Consider the following 16,690-nt stretch of genomic DNA (forward strand, 5'->3'; position numbering starts at 1 on the left):
AAATGAAATTTAAAAAGAATACCATTCATATACATAGTAACATAAAGCATTAAAAATTAAATTCTTAAGAATAACATATTTAAATGTGCAAGACTGTACCTATAGGAGACATACTGAGGGAAATCAGAGAAGATATAACTGAACGCTGACTATACTGTGTTCATGTTTTATAATATATAAACTTGTTAAGATGTCACTTCTTTCTAAATTAATCTACAGACTTAATGTAGTCCCAATCAAAATCTTAGCAGTCATTTTTTTTGTAGAAGTTAACAGGTTGACTCTAAAATATACAAGGAACTATAAAGAAATAAAAATAGCCAAAGCAATTTAATAATTGGCTTTTACTATTTGATTTCAAGACTTGCTCTAAAGCTACAGTAATTAACAGTGATATTGGCATAAGGCTAGGCAAAATGATGAATGGAAAAGAATGGAGAGTCTAGAAATACTTCCTCTCCACCCCTACACACACATATTTATGGTCCATTTGTTTTCAACAAAGGAAACAAAGCAATTTAATGGGGAAAAGGATAGTCTTTTCAACAAATGGTTCTAGAATAGTAGCAGATCCCTATAAAGAAAATCTACCTTAACCTGTACTTTATATCATATCTAAAAATTAACTCAATCTATGTCATGTACTTATATATAAAATTTAAAGTTATCAGGCAGCTAGGAAAGAAGTCAAAAGATAATATATTGTTATAAAGAGATTTATTAGAAAAGAAATAAAATTAACTAGCCATAAAGAAAATATTGATAAATTAGACTTACTCAGAATTAAAAGTGCCCATCAAAAGGTAGAGATAGACAGTAGGCAATGCAAAATACTTGAAATTTCTATATTTGAAACAGGACTTGTATCCAGAATATATTTTAAAACCCATCAAACTCAATAATAGTGATAATAATAATTATTTAAAAATTAATTTTAAAATGGACAAAAGATTTTACCAGATACCAAAAAAAGAGGACTACACAGTAAACAACTGAAAAGGCAATTAACATTAGTCATCTAGGAAATGCAAATCAGAGCCACAATCATTTCCATTTCACAAGTATTGAAGACTCACAATACCAAATGCTGAAATAACTGAATTCTAATATATGGTGATGATTGTGTAAAATGGTAAAACCTTCTTAAGAAACTGACAGTTTCTTACAAAGTTAGATGTACATCTACCCTACGACTTAACAGTTCTATTCCTAGTTATTCCCCCAAGAGAAATAAATGCAAATCTTCCAAGAAAGACATGTATAATAACATTTATAGTAACTTTATTCATAATAGATAAAACCTGGAAATAGCCTCCAATTTCAGAAACAAAATGAGTAATCAAATTGTTGTATTTTTTCATGCACCTTTTTGTTTATTGTTTTCAAATTGATTTTATTTTTAGAATAGTTTTAGATTTATAGAAAAACTGAAAAGATAGTAAAGACAATTCCCATATACCCAATATCCAGCTTTCCCTGTTATCATCTTACATTGGTATGGCAGGTGTTACAATCAAGGAACCAAACTTGAGGCAGAAGAATAGGGTCTAGAAACAGGAAACCTAAGGCCAACCCATGGCTGCCTTCTTGGAAATGAACTGAGAGGAAAACCCCACCTCACCATGACCACGTAATGTTAGGAGCCAAATGCCCCTCTCTCTCCAAACCTCCCCTCCCCTACCTAGTGAATGAGAATGTTTGTAACTGGTCCATTCTGGAACCTTCATTTGCATATACATCACAGGCAGGATGCCTCTGATTGGTCCTGGGCAGAATCCTGCCACTGACTGGTCCTGGGCAAAATCCTTCATTTGTATAGGGTGTAACTTATCAGAGGCCTCTAAAGGGTACTGAGGGGTTTTACCATGTTTTTAAATTTTGATTAAAAACCCAAGGAACATTACAGCCAGGGCTCTTGAGCCACTTGCTTGGGCCTGCTCCCACTCTGTGGAGTGTACTTTTCCTTCAATAAATCTATGCCTTAATCTTCTGTTGTTTTGTTTCTGTGTTTTTTTCAATTTCTTTGTTAAATATGCCAAGAACCTGGACAACTTGCACTCAAGACTTCCATCCAGTAACAAACTAATACACTGTTATTAACCAAAGCTCATGGTTTACTCAGATCTTATTTTTACTTCATCTCCTTTTTCCCATCCAGGATACTGCATTACATTTAGACATCATGTCTCCTTAGGCTTCTCTTGCCTCTAACAGTTTCTCATTCTTTCCTTGTTGTTGATGACCTTGACAGTTTTGAGGAGTATCAGCCATGTAATTTGTAGAATGTCCCTTAATTGAGGTTCATCTGATTATTTTCTCATGCATAGACTGGTGTTATGGTTTTGGGGAAGAAAGAGCTGTGTTGATCACATTATACCGAGAATATATATTCTATGAACTTGATCTATCACTGTTGATATTGACCTTGGTCACTTGGCTGAGGTGGCATTTCTCAGGTTTCTTTACTGCAGTTACTTTTTTTTTTTTTTCCCTTTCCACATTGTGCTTTTTGGGAGGAAGGCGCTCAGTACAGCTCGCACTTAGGTGCAGGGAGTCATACATCCCCCCCTTGAAGGTGAAGTAAATTCTAGTATTTTTATATTAATGAATACTCAGCAATAAAAAGGTAAAAAGGACAGAAAGAAAAGGGAAGGAGCACAACTGAGACAAGGAACAACATAGTTGAACTTCACAAACATTAGGATGTGTGAAAGAATCCAGGTACAAACGTGTACATACTGTAAGATTTATTCATGTCAAAAACAGACAAAAATAATCTATGGCAATTAGAAGCAGAACAATGCTTGCATCAAGGGGCAGGTGATTGAACTAAAAAGGGGTACCAGGGAAATTTCTGTGGTTGATAAAATGTTCTATGTCTTGATTAGGATGTATTCACAACATTCAGTTAGCTGTAAACTTAAGGTCTTCGTTTTCACTTATGTAAATCATTTCTTAATTGAATTTTTTTTCAAAAAAGGTCTTCTGCATGTAATGTCAAAGAAGTCATTAACAATTCTGGTTAAAAGCAATTTCAGTACAAGCGTTGTTGCAGATGGTTTTTTGGGAGCTTTTAGTTAAATTTCCCTAAAAGACCTTCACAACGAAATGGAGTGAGTGAAAGAACAGCACTTACTGAAGATCACTAATTATACTTGAAAATTAGTGACATTATACTTGAAAATTAGAAGACAGAAATAGAGGAGTAAAGATCTACAAAGAACAAAAATCAAACTGCAGGAATATACAGTAACAGTGCTGACCTCATAAAGGAACTAAAAATAGTTTATTGAGCACCTAACTGTTACAGCAATCCAAATGGGAGAAACAAAATGCAAAGAGATGACTAATGTCTGCCAACACGCTTACCTCTAGACACCAGTCTAGCAATGTAAAAATCTTACATCCTTTTATAGTGATCTTTGGAGATTTGCTAAATCCTTGAAGCACTCTAGTAAGAAATGACCCCTTAAGTGTTATGGCTTTTCAAGGACACTCATAGGTAGTATGGAACTATAATTTTTAAAGCATGTGTAAAAAGACATATAAAACAATATATTGTATAGCACAAAAAATCGGGGCACAATTCTCACGGTCATTAGTTATCAAATGAGTTGGTGGCTGCATCTCATTTTGCCTTCTGTAATTTGAGAAAATCTCTAGAAAACTAACAAGAAAACAGAGAAAATAGTTAAAATAGTTAACAAACTAAACTTCTCTGAGAATATATAAGGAAAATTATCCAGCTTGCTGAAGACAGGTAAATCACAAAACTTCTTCCTGTTGAAATACAAAAAAGATAATCTATTCTTCATGGAAATTGGAGTTCTCAGAAAAACTAACCACTCTGGGATTTAGCACTGACCATGAAGCAAAAAAGAAAAAACACTGGTGCCTTTACTTTGTATATTTGTCCTTGGATGGGAGAGGGTCAGGATGGTTATACAAATTTTTTTTCATTACTTCATTTACATTAAGTCTAGAACTATAAAAAAGAGCTTGGAACAGGGAGTTTGAGGTTCAGAGACTTTAAAAACCGCATTTAAAAATGGTGGGACTAAGCATTTAATTATTAAAGCAAAAACCAGCCTTTGAAGTTTTGAATTAAATGAAAAGAAGTATTAAAATATTAATGCAGAAAATCATATTCTAGTGAAAAACAAGAAAAATACAGACTTTAATCACACCAACTTTAATTAAATCTTCCTTCTAGCACATCTAGACTTTAAGCAATCACTTATTCTACCAACATTAATTGAGGACAGATATTGTTCTCAGCACTTGGTTTTCTGTGATGAACAAATGAAATTCCAGCTGTCAAATAACTCACTGTTTGCATTTTTTTGGATTTTTTTTTTTTTTTGGTTTTGCCTTGTTTTTTGGAATAGTATTATTTCAAGACTGGGAGAGAGATAAGATCTTCTCTCAGAATTCCTTCTAATCTCATAATTTTATTAAACATCTTGTTGCCAACTCAAGAGATCAGCATCATAACTCATACACATTGGTAAGAGCTTAAATAAATATATAGTTATTGTTGGGCTTTGAGAAAGGATATTAAATTACATACCGAGGGAGCTAAGGCCAACATAAAGAAACACTTACATCTCTGTTTTCACATTGCATGGGGTTTTTATTCCAAAGAACTCCTGAGCTTAAGCTATTTATTTAAGCATTTCTCCAATATCACAATATCAACTGGTTATTGCATTCTGTGTACCTTGATTTTTTCACTATTTAATGAGTATTTTAAGTTGTTTCATGTTAAACTCAAAGTGTTTAGATAACTGAACAGTTACTCAGACAAATGAGGGTTAGTTTTCTTTATATCTCTGTATCTATAAGTAAAAATAGAGATAGATGTTTCCTACTAAGAAATGGTAGGGGGGCCTCATCAATCCATAAAATCAGCGAATAATTTTCATTGTAGAAGTACATATTGCCTCTAGCTATGAGTCCTCACTTTAATGTGTGAAGTAGAATTTCTATATGAGGAATAAAGAATTGCTGGATCAGATCTTTCCATGAGACTCAAGGATTGAATTTTGTCATAATTCTTTCTGAATCTGCCATTCTTATTTTAGCTAAAATTGTTTTGCCTTGAGTGGAGCTGAGCTGGGGAGGCTTAACACATTGTCTGGCACCGTTATTTGGGATTCACTAAAATTCTTTATTTTGATTTTAAATTGTTTCCAAAAATAACTTCAGAGACCATTAGGTAAAATCATCAAAAATATTCAATAAGGAAATAATTGCCAGAGTTAAAAGTCGAAGTTCATGTACCCTGGGTCTGGGATGGAAAGTTTTACACACACGCAAACACACACACACACGCGCGCGCGCACACACACACACACACGTGCATATTTGAAAATACTTCCATGATTGGTCATTGCTATCACATAACAGAAAACAGCTGCATTGAGTAAAGTAACAACTGGACAGCCATTGTAACCTTAGCTTTCCATTTGATACTCAGGAGAGAAACCTTCCTCTACATATGATAAAAAATATGACCACTACCATGATTAGTAAAGCAGTGAAGCAGCAAAACAACTCACTTCTCATCTCTCAGTCTCCACCCTCTGCCCCTTTTGGTCAGTTTTCTCAAGGCCAATATTGCCTATCTCCACAGGGCAATTGGACTATTACATAACAGGCGCTAATACTTGTTTAAGAAAAAACATATATGATCTTTTAAAATGCTCATCCCCAGGAAGCTTAACGACTTTAAAATTAAAACAAGGCAGCCATGGAAAAGCTATTATTGGTAGAACTACACAAGTTGACTTTTTTCTTAACTGTATTTATATTCTGGGGTCGATTTGGTAGCCTTAGTCCAAGTGCTCCAATGATAGTTTCAGGGATATTTTCATCTCTCCTCCTCTCTTGCACTGGCTTTTATTTTCAGTACTTCAGTCGGCTTTAGATGACACTTTTATCTGTTAGGGTTTCAAAATACAACAGCTGGCTGGGCGCGGTGGCTCATGCCTGTAACCCCAGCACTTTGGGAGGCCGAGGCGGCCGGATCACGAGGTCAGGAGATCGAGACCATCCTGGCTAACACGGTGAAACCCCGTCTCTACTGAAAATACAAAAGATTAGCCGGGCGTTGTGGCGGGCGCCTGCAGTCCCAGCTACTCTGGAGGCTGAGGCAGGAGCATAGCTTGAACCCAGGAGGCGGAGCTTGCAGTGGGCCAAGATCGCGCCACCACACTCCAGCCTGGGGGACAGAGAGAGACTCCGTCTCAAAAAAAAAAAAAAACCAAAAAAAACACTATTGTAATTTCTAATACCGAAGACTAATTTTATTTTTAAAGTTTGTATAAATAGAAATTGTATAGCATATATTTTCTTTCACGCCTGGCTTCTTTCAGTCATTATTATGCTTTTGGCATTTATCCGTGTTACTGCTTTTAGTTGTAGTGTATTTATTATCCTTACTATATAGTATTCTATTATATGAGTATAACAATATTCTTTTCTTAATTCTATTGTTGATAAACCTTTTTAGGGTTATTTTCCATTTGGGGATATTGCAAATAGTGCTATGATGAACTTCCCTCTATTTTTACTTCTCACGTTTTGCACACAGGTGAACATTTCACTGGATAAACATTTCATAGTAGTAGAATTCTAGGTCATAGAGTATGTAAATGTTTAGCTTTAATAGATATCAGCAGCCATTTGTTTACATTGGTCATTGTAATTTACCCTCTTACCAACAGTGAATGAGAATATCGATTGCTCCATTTACTTGCCTACTTTTGGTATTTTGGGTCTCGTTTTGTTTTGTCCTGGTTGTTTGGCTTTGAATTCTAGTAGGCATGAAGTGTTATCTCATTGTGATTTTATTTGCATTAGGCTAATGATTAATGAAGAGATCATGTTTTCATGTGTTCATTGGATGATAAAATTTCCTTTTTATGCTAAATATCTGTTAAATGTCTTGGTATTCATATTACGAATTCTTATTGTCAGTTGTTTTCTTATTGCTCTTTAGGAGTTATTTATATATTCTTGGACATAAGCCTTTCATTGCATTATGTGTATTGCTAAATCTCATGCTCTGTGATTTGTAATTTTACTCAATTAATAATGTCTTGTGATAAATAATTTTTATATTTATTAAACTGTTTATCAATCTTCATTGTCAGTGTTTTTATTTGACCTTTAAGAAAATTTTGCTTACACAATGGTTACAAAATATTTTCCTACATGCAAAGTTTTTTATTTTTTTACTTTCCTCATGTGTATTTAAAATCTATCTGAAATTGACTTTTAAGTATAGTCCAGTATATACTGTACTGATTGTGTATACATGGTAGGAGTCAAGACCATTCTGTTCTCTAAAGCTGTTCTACCCATTCATTCATGTATTTTATTATGAATAATGAATAATAAAATTTCCTAATTGAGAATAAATAATTACATTTATTCAGACTGCATTCTTCCCCTATGTCACAGCATATCATAAAACAACCTTGTGTATATCATCTATATCTAAATTATGTATTATTCCATTAGTCTGTAATCCATTTTTAAGTGTCATGTGGTTTAATATTAAGTCTTAGTATTTGATGTTGTAAGATTTCAATTTTGTTTTCTTCTTCAAGATTAGTCTTGGTTACTTGGGACCCTTCATCAGTACTCTATAAACATTTGAAAGTTCTTAGCCAGGCCTGGTGGCTTGTGCCTATAATCTCACCTACATGAGAGGATTGATTGAGCCTAGGGGGTTCAAGTCTGCAATAAGCTACAATTGCGCTACTGCACTCCAGCCTCAGTGATAGAGCAAGAACGTCATCTGTAACAAAAAAAAAAAATTTCTTGTTATTATCTACAAAAGAAATAACAGAAAACTTGCTAGAATTTAGATTAGAATTTGATTGGTTTTATAGATAAATTTTAGAACTGATAGCTTTACATGTTGAAACTTTTAATCCATAAACATAGCAGAACACAGCATTTCTTCCTCATTAAGTTTATTTCTAGAAATTTGATTTTCTTGTTATTATAAACTGTTCTTATAAAATTTCATTTAATAAAAGATTATATTTATTTGACAGATATGGAATATTCATATTTTCTATTTCTTCTGAGTTTATTTAGTATTATAAAAGTTGCAATCTTTCTCACTGTATTACCAATATTGCCTGATATTAGCTGACTATACTAATTCTTTTAAAAAATAGTGTTTGTTACATTTTTATCCATTCCTCTATTTTCCTTTCAAATCATTATATATAGGGTCTGTATCCTAAAATTTAAGGGTTTATGGCTATGTAAGCCACATATAGGGGTTGTTATTGTTTGTTGTTACTGTTTTCATCCAGACTGTTAATCTTTTTTTAATTGGATAATTTAGGCCATTTATATTTAATGTAATACTGATATATTTAGGTTACAGCTCACATTTTACTATTTGATATGTATTTCTCATCTTTTTTCTGTTTAATCTTCTGATCTTATTTTAGAGTATTTTTTATTTTTAATTAATAAATTTATTTTAAAAGTAACCCATAAAAATTGCATATATTTATCATGTACAACATCATGTTTTGAAATATGTACACATTATGGAATGGCTAAATTGAGCAAATTAACATATGCATTACCATACATACTTATTTTGTGTGTGTATGTGGTGAGAACACATAAAATCTCTCTTAGTAATTTTCAAGAACACAATACATTGTTGTTAACTATCATCAACATGCTGTACAATCAATCTCTCAAACTTATTGCACTAACTGAACTAAAATTTTGGATCTTTTGACCATCTGCCCAAACACTTCTGCCCCCAGCCCTCGATGTCCACCATTTTACTCTCTGCTTCTATTAGTTCAACTTTTAAAAATTCCACATAAAAGTGACATCATGTGGTATTTGTCTTTCTTTCTGGCTTATTTCAGTTAACATAATGTCCTCCAGGTTCATTCATGTTGTTGCAATTACAAGATTTCCTTTGTTTTAAAGGCTAAGCAGTACTCCATAGTGGATATATTATTATTTCTTGTTTAATTGCTCAATATTCATATTGACATTAAATATTTTTCAACATTGACTTGCATTATTTTTACTATTTTCAGTGATTTCCCCAAAGATTAAAACATAATTTTTATTTATTATAGGTCAATGCATCAGTTATTTTACTAATCTATATTTAGTTATATTATTTATAATATACTAATGTATATCAATCATTTTGCTTTCCACGCAACTCTTTAGAACTCAAAAAACCTTGTAACTGCATTTAACACCTCATTTTTGGTGTTAATGTTAGTTGTTCATATATTTAAATCATCATATCAGATTATATTTTTATTGTTTTATAGTAAATATTAGTTTATATTTTCTCATGTTTACATCCTCTTACTCTTCATTCCCTCTTACATTTTCATGTTTCCATCATGTTTTGTCATTTTTGTGAATGACTCTTATTTTTATTTTGTCTAAAACAAATCTTAATGAGAATAATTATTTTGATTTTTGTTAACCATATCCCTTTTTTTTTAGTTTTTTTCTTTTTATTTTCCACTCATTTTTTACTCTGGAAGTTTCAGTGATTTATTTTTCAGTTCACCAATTCCCTCTTCTACTACATCCTAGCTACTGTGAGCTCATCTTTTAACTTCTTAATTACCATTATTACATTTTTCAATTCTAAGATTTTTATTATGATTTCCTGAATTCTACATTATGGAGCATACTAATCTTGGTTATTTTTGTATCTGTTTTTCATACTTCTATTAACTGGATCATTGGTAAGAAGTGTGCTAATTTTTTTCTTGAGTATTAAATATTATATATGAAAAATCAGGGAGACTCTGGATTGTTCTCCTCCTCCAGAAAGGTTGCAACATGTCCTCTGATGGTGAGATTCAGTCAAGGCATATCATCTTAATCTAATTTAGGACAAGGCTAACTTAAGCTAGGTTAGAATGTGTTTAAGGCTCTGTCTCCTTGTAGCTTACACTCATTCCTAGGACACTGCCCTCCAGTTGGTCAACCTGAAATCCTGAGGTTTCTTCCGTCACCGTTCTTGAGTATGATTACTGTCTCTAAATATTTCCGGAAAATTCCATTATGTTTTTCAGTGGCTTTCTGATGTGCTTCTTATCCTTCTTTAGAATTCAGCAAACGCCTCTAAGGGAGAAAAAAAAATGTCCTAATTCTTTATCTCTCTTTTCTCAACAATAACTTGATTTCACATCTCAGCTGTTTTGAAGTCACAAACTTTAGCTTATTCCTCTTTAGTCCTGTGAGATTAACAAATAGTGTGCTGATTTCTCTGCTTTTTTTTTGGGTGGGGGTACCAAATTTCTTTATTTGAAGGAATGGTACAAATCAAAGAATTTAAGTGGATGTTTTGGTACAACTTATAGAAAAGGTAAAGGAAACCCCAACATGCATGCACTGCCTTGGTGACCAGGGAAGTCACCCCACGGCTATGGGGAAATTAGCCTGAGGCTTAGCTTTCATTATCACTGTCTCCCAGGATGTGCTTGTCAAAAAGATATTCTGCCAAGCCAGATTCGGGTGCTCCCATCTTGCGCAAGTTGGTCACTTGATCACCCAATTCTTTGATGGCTTTCACCTGCTCATTCAGGTAATGTGTCTCAATGAAGTCACACAAATGGGGGTCATTTTTGTCAGTGGCCAGTTTGTGCAGTTCCAGTAGTGACTGATTCACATTTTTTTCCAAATGTAATGCACACTCCGTCGCATTCAGCCTGCTCTCCCAGTCATCACAGTCTGGTTTCTTGATATCCTGAAGGAAGATTCAGCCACCTAGTTGGTTCTGCAGCTCCATCAGTTTCTCAGCATGTTCCCTCTCCTCATGAGATTGGTGAAGAAAGTATTTGGCAAAGTTCTTCAAAGCCACATCATCGCGGTCAAAGTAGTAAGACATGGACAGGTAAACGTAGGAGGCGTAGAGCTCCAGGTTGATCTGGCGGTTTATGGCGGCCTCTGAGTCCTGGTGGGAGTTCTGGCGCACCTGCGAGGCGGACGCGGTCGTCATGGCGGCGACTAAGCAGAGGCGGCGGTGGCGGCGGCGGTGGCTGCGCGGCGCTGGAGCGGCGGCGGGGGCCCTGGGGCAGTCCGAGGGTGCGGTGAAGAGGTGACGGAGGGCTGGCTATGGACGGCCGGCCCGGGTGCGGGACGAGCGCCGGGTTCCGTCCAAGCACTGTTGAAGCAGGAAACCCCGACGACTCTCCGCGAAGAACGTCTCTCTCTGCTTCTTATTTGTATTTCTCCACTTAAAACCTTGGCTTCTAATTTGTGGACCAATTAAAAAATGCCCAAAGGAGGGTGACTCTTAGAATGACCTTGTAAGTTTCTGAGTTTTTTTTTTTTTTCTGCAAACCCCTCATCTTTCAATTTCTAGTTGCTTTGGCAGCTCTCCGCTGTATTCAAACAAATGGTTTAGTCAAATTTTTCTCTTTGTTTTCAAGTTGGCTTATTGGTTTTCTGTAAGCTACTCCATAATGAATGGAAGCAGAAGTTTCAAAGAATAGCTGATAAATAAAAATGTTGTATAATTGCTGCAATTATTACTGTTGTTGATGCATTATTATTTTTTTAATTCCATAGAACCAAAGCTTCTACACTGTTTTCACTAGGCAAGAGTAAGTGGCAATTGACAACCAAAAATTGAAAACCCTTATCTGTTACAGGTGTTCAGGTATTTGAGGTAGGCATTAGCTTTTAGTAGGGCATGGAGCATATCTCAAATGCAATAGCTTCCTATGAATACCTCATCACCAGTCACCAGTATTGCTATAAAATCTAAAAAATTCAGCTTTTTTTTTTTAATGTAGCTAATATTTGGCCATCTATAAAAGTCAGATGTGTAATCTTTGCACATCCCCAAAACATTTTACGCTGTATTTATCAATATGAAATATATAATTTTTAATTGAAAATACAAATCTCCTACTCCTCAATTAATCTATATTTAAAACTTTATTTTTTCACAGATTTATAGAGAAAACTTTTTGCCCTTTAGTCCATGTGCCAAAAATACTTTTGGGTATAAAAATAGTTCTATTTCATCAGTGATTAACATATACAATATATTACAGAAAAAATCTTTTCCATATTATATTTTACCTGACATGTGTATTTATATAATATCCAAAACTTTTCATTGTGACAATTTTTTTGTCATCTTGAGAATGTGTGTAAATATCACTGAGTGAAATCAATTGCTTTAAACTATAATGTGATGCAACTATGTGAAGTGGCTGCTTTAGTAAAATGTAGTTTTAATATGAATTAATAGAAGTAGAGTGCCAGAACAAGACATGTGCAGATCCTGCTATGTTCTGTTGTGATCAGGACTTACTTCAATTTTGGTACTCTGCTTTAAACATCATACATTAAAGGAAACATCAATTATAACATTGCACACAGTGTCACTAGATAGTGAAAGGCTCTTAAACACTGTTTGGGAAGAATAATTCACAGGACTGAAATGAAGACAAGATTTGTCAAGTAACACATTCTCTAATATTTAGAAGTCTATAACACACAGGCTTAAGAGACATCCTGGGTCATTATGGGGGAAAGAATCCCAACTGGTCAACATATGAGTGAAAAACATTTTAATAACTGGAATTGTACTGTCACAGATAAATTAATATAGGAAGTAAAAAATGTATAAACAATTAAAAATATTTGATGATTTCACAGAGATGGTATCAAGGGGATAAAAACATCCTACCAGGAATAATCTAGGTGATTCCTAAGATTTCTTCCAATTCTAAAACTGAGATTAAACAACGTTGTATAAAGTCAGATCTCTGCTTTTCTTTCTCATTTAGCATCTTAAAATTCATTTATGTGGAACATCAATCGTTGAACTGATTTGTCTCTTACGATTTGGGGGAAGGATTGAAATTTGAAAGTGATAATATGTATAATTTTATTATATCATAGTATTTAGCTCAAAAATTTCTGCTGTACGATCATTTCTATAACTAGCAATAATAAAGGAGATAGGACCCATGGTTCAAGATCTTAAATCAAGCTAAATTTCCTGTCACAAGGCTGGCTTTTCCTTCTGTGCCTAATAATATGTTCATCATTTCCTTCTGAGACCTCACCAGGGGCATGTTTAACATTCATATTTCTGCCAAGCTGTCATGTTTTATCTCAGATGCTGTAAGCTTTCTCTACCGTGTTCCTCACAGCCATCTGAATTCTCACCAGAATTTCTTTTCACTCCACATTGCCACAAATCATTTCTTTGAGGCAATCTGGGTTTTCTCTATCATGGTCCCCAAAATTCTTCCAGCCTCTGCCCATTAATCAGTCTCAAAACCACTTCCATATTTTTAAGCATTTGTTACAGCAGCACCTCATTTCCTGGTACCCAAACCTGTCGTTTCTTGGGGCTGCCATAGCTAAGTACCACAAACAGCGTGGCTTAAAGCAACAGGAACTTACTCTTTCACAGTTCTGGAGGCCAAAAGTCTGAAGCCAGGGTGTTGGCAGGGTCATTTTCCATCTGGAGACTCTGACAGAGAATCTGTTCCATGCCTTTTGGGTTATAATGCTTCTGTTCCAAGGCGTTCCTTGGTTTGCAAATCTATCTCTCCAATTTCTGCCTTCACGGCCTTCTTCCCTGTGTGTCTTTGTCTCTGTGAATGTCTCCTCTTAAAAGAACACAAATCATTGAATTTGAGGCCCATCTAATCCAGTATGACCTCATCTGAATTAATTATATCTGCAAAGACCTTATTTCCAAGTAAGGTCACATTCTGAGGTTCCAGGTAGATGTGAATTTGGGAAGGACACTGTTCAATCCACCATATAGGTTCTGTGTTCCTTAAGGTTTGTACCATGTGTGGTTCTAGAAGTCAACACAGTGCCTGGCACCTAGAATGAATGAACGATTCAGTGAATTTCCTCCATCACTAACTCTGTCAAATAAGAACAGTTAAGTGTCAAAGTTGAGGTGGATACATTAAATAATGCTCACTTTATTTGAGCAAGATTTAAGAGTCAGCCTTGACTTTCAATTCTCTTGTGGGCCACATAAGCATTGCATGTCACACTGGGGTCTAATCTCACTTGTCTGATTGTTCCCAAATAAGCTTGCTTGAGAAAAACATCCCCTCCATCTACTGAGATAGAAGTTTGCCATTTGCAGTTGAATCTATGCTATTCTGGAAAGATCTGTATCACATTCTTTACTCTGGTCCCTCCTACAAGAGAGGATCCTACTAGATCATCAACATTTCTGTATATTAGGAATGTGACTGTGTGACCTCAGTAAGCCACTTAATCTTTTTTCGCTCTGTTGTTTTGTAAAATGGGATTATTAATGTTACCTACTTTGTAGGGTTGCTATAAGCATGAAATAAGTTAATTTCTTAAAGTACTCAAAACTGTGTCTGGCACAGAGTAAATCCATGTTTGTTTAATAAATAGTATTTAATGTCAATCAATCAAAATCAATGAAGTTTCTCTGTAAACAAAGTATTAAGCAGCTACCAAGTTCTCAGAAGGGGTTGCCTGTTTCTTATAATTTTCTTAGAGACATAGCAACTTAGAACTGGTTTCATCAAGGTAGTTACTAAATTCAGCGACATGAAGGAAAGTTTTCTGAGAAGCATTTTCCTGGCTAAGCTTAAAGGTCTGTCTCTCAAACACTTCTGTTTTGGAGATATGACATTTTATAGCATGAATGGAAAAAATTGTCTGGAAGTTATAGTGTTTTTTTAACATAACACTCACTATTGTACCTCACATTTTACGGTTTACAGAATGTTTGTTTTAAGTAGTCAGTAGGGTTGCAGAAAGTATAACTAACTTGCATCCTGATTTGTGAATCGCGTGTAATCTGAGCGCATCTGAAAGCCTGTTGGTGTCCTTTTCTTGGCTCATGGCTCACATACTCCCTTGAAGAGCTGTCAAAGTTGGCATGGCTTAAATGTCATTTTTTAAATTACTAAGGATTTAAAGTCAGGCTAAGGTTTTGTGTGTGTGTGTGTGTGTGTGTGCGTGCATGTGTGTATGTGTTGAAGATGAAAGAGTTTAGCAAATATCAGTTTATTGACTATGAAAATGTATCCAGACTTCACTTAAACCACTTTTCTCACCCACCCATAGAACTGTTTCAATCAAGTTCAATCAAGGTGACACTAATGAGCTAACAGTCTTCCAGGTAGCAGTGACATTGACATCAGAAACATTCTATAGATCTTAGCCTTACCTTCTTATATGCATCCCCTCCCCCATCTTTTGTCTCTTTCCAGAGCCTGAAATCTGTTATTATTCCTCTTGGGAGGTCCGTTTACATTGAACACACATCTGGCTTAATTAGGTTGACAGCTGCTACAGGTACCGTTGGACAAGGTCCAGCCATCTCAGTGCATTCCCATTTACTTGACAGCTTAACCTTTCACAATCTCATCTTCAGAGTGCAAATGAACTTGAGAGATGTGCTTTTATTATTTGTTAATACATGCTCATTCTCTACCTTGCCACCAAAATCGTAATCAACAGAGACCACACTAAAAAGTAAAGGGTATTTCCCTAATGCCAACTGGTGAACTGCAAAGACCAAACTACCCAAACCTATGAAAACTTGGCAAAAAAGCATAATAAGAAGTGGTCCAGGGCAGTTGGAGAAAAGGCTGAGAAAACAATCCCACTTTCAAGCTTATGGCTTGAGTTTGCTTACATAAAATCTTTAGGCAGTAAAAAGTGATTACAGTTATTTCTGCCTTCAGCCACAGCCAACAAAGAAGGTGGTCTTCAGATTCCCCACATACACTGATGTTTTTCATCTACGCTGTTGTACTTCTAGCAATGGAGTGACCAAACATTTTGCACGTGCATACAGGAATAATCTGTTTGCTGCAAAGCCACTTGGTCTGTGTTTTTTTTTTTTTTTTTTTTTTTTTTTTTTTTTTTTTTTTTTTTTTTTTTTTGAGACGGAGTCTTGTTCTGTCGCCCAGGCCGGACTGCGGACTGCAGTGGCGCAATCTCGGCTCACTGCAAGCTCCGCTTCCCGGGTTCACGCCATTCTCCTGCCTCAGCCTCCCGAGTAGCTGGGACTACAAGTGCCCGCCACCGCGCCCGCCTAATTTTTTGTATTTTTAGTAGAGGCAGGGTTTCACCTTGTTAGCCAGGATGGTCTCGATCTCCTGACCTCATGATCCACCCGCCTCGGCCTCCCAAAGTGCTGGGATTACAGGCGTGAGCCACCGCGCCCGGCCTTGGTCTGTGTTTTAAACCACCTGCCTTAAATGCCTTTGCAGTTGTTTTAATTAATTCATGCATAATTTTTTTCCACTAGAGCTTCATGTAGAAACAGCATTGAGAATAACAACTACTTTTGGCTGCCTCAACCCAAGCCCAAGCCCAAATTAATAAAAGCAGAGTCAATTCCAAAAGTCCCTTCCAAAGAAAGGTGGTTAGCTTTTTCGTACCATATTTACTTACAGCAGGAAAGTCCTTTATTTAACAAATTACTATTTGACTTCCTGGAAGTTTAAACGTTTGATTCTCTGGGGCGATTGTATTTTCCCAAGAAGCAACACCTTTGGGAGGCCAGAGGACAAAAGGAAACTGAGGGTCATTCCGTTTTCCTGGACCATGATTTTCCTTTGGCTATTATTTTGAATCATTATAGCTAAATTGTTTTTCTTCTCCAAGAACTAAAAGTAGATCT

At 35.4% G+C, this 16,690-nt stretch overlaps 1 pseudogene; it reads right to left on the minus strand.

The window, feature by feature from the left end:
- FTH1P7 (ferritin heavy chain 1 pseudogene 7) lies at nucleotides 10,314–11,235 on the minus strand (annotated as a pseudogene).

Source organism: Homo sapiens, chromosome 13, assembly GCF_000001405.40.
Source record: "Homo sapiens chromosome 13, GRCh38.p14 Primary Assembly".
In the NCBI taxonomy this organism is placed as follows: domain Eukaryota; kingdom Metazoa; phylum Chordata; class Mammalia; order Primates; family Hominidae; genus Homo; species Homo sapiens.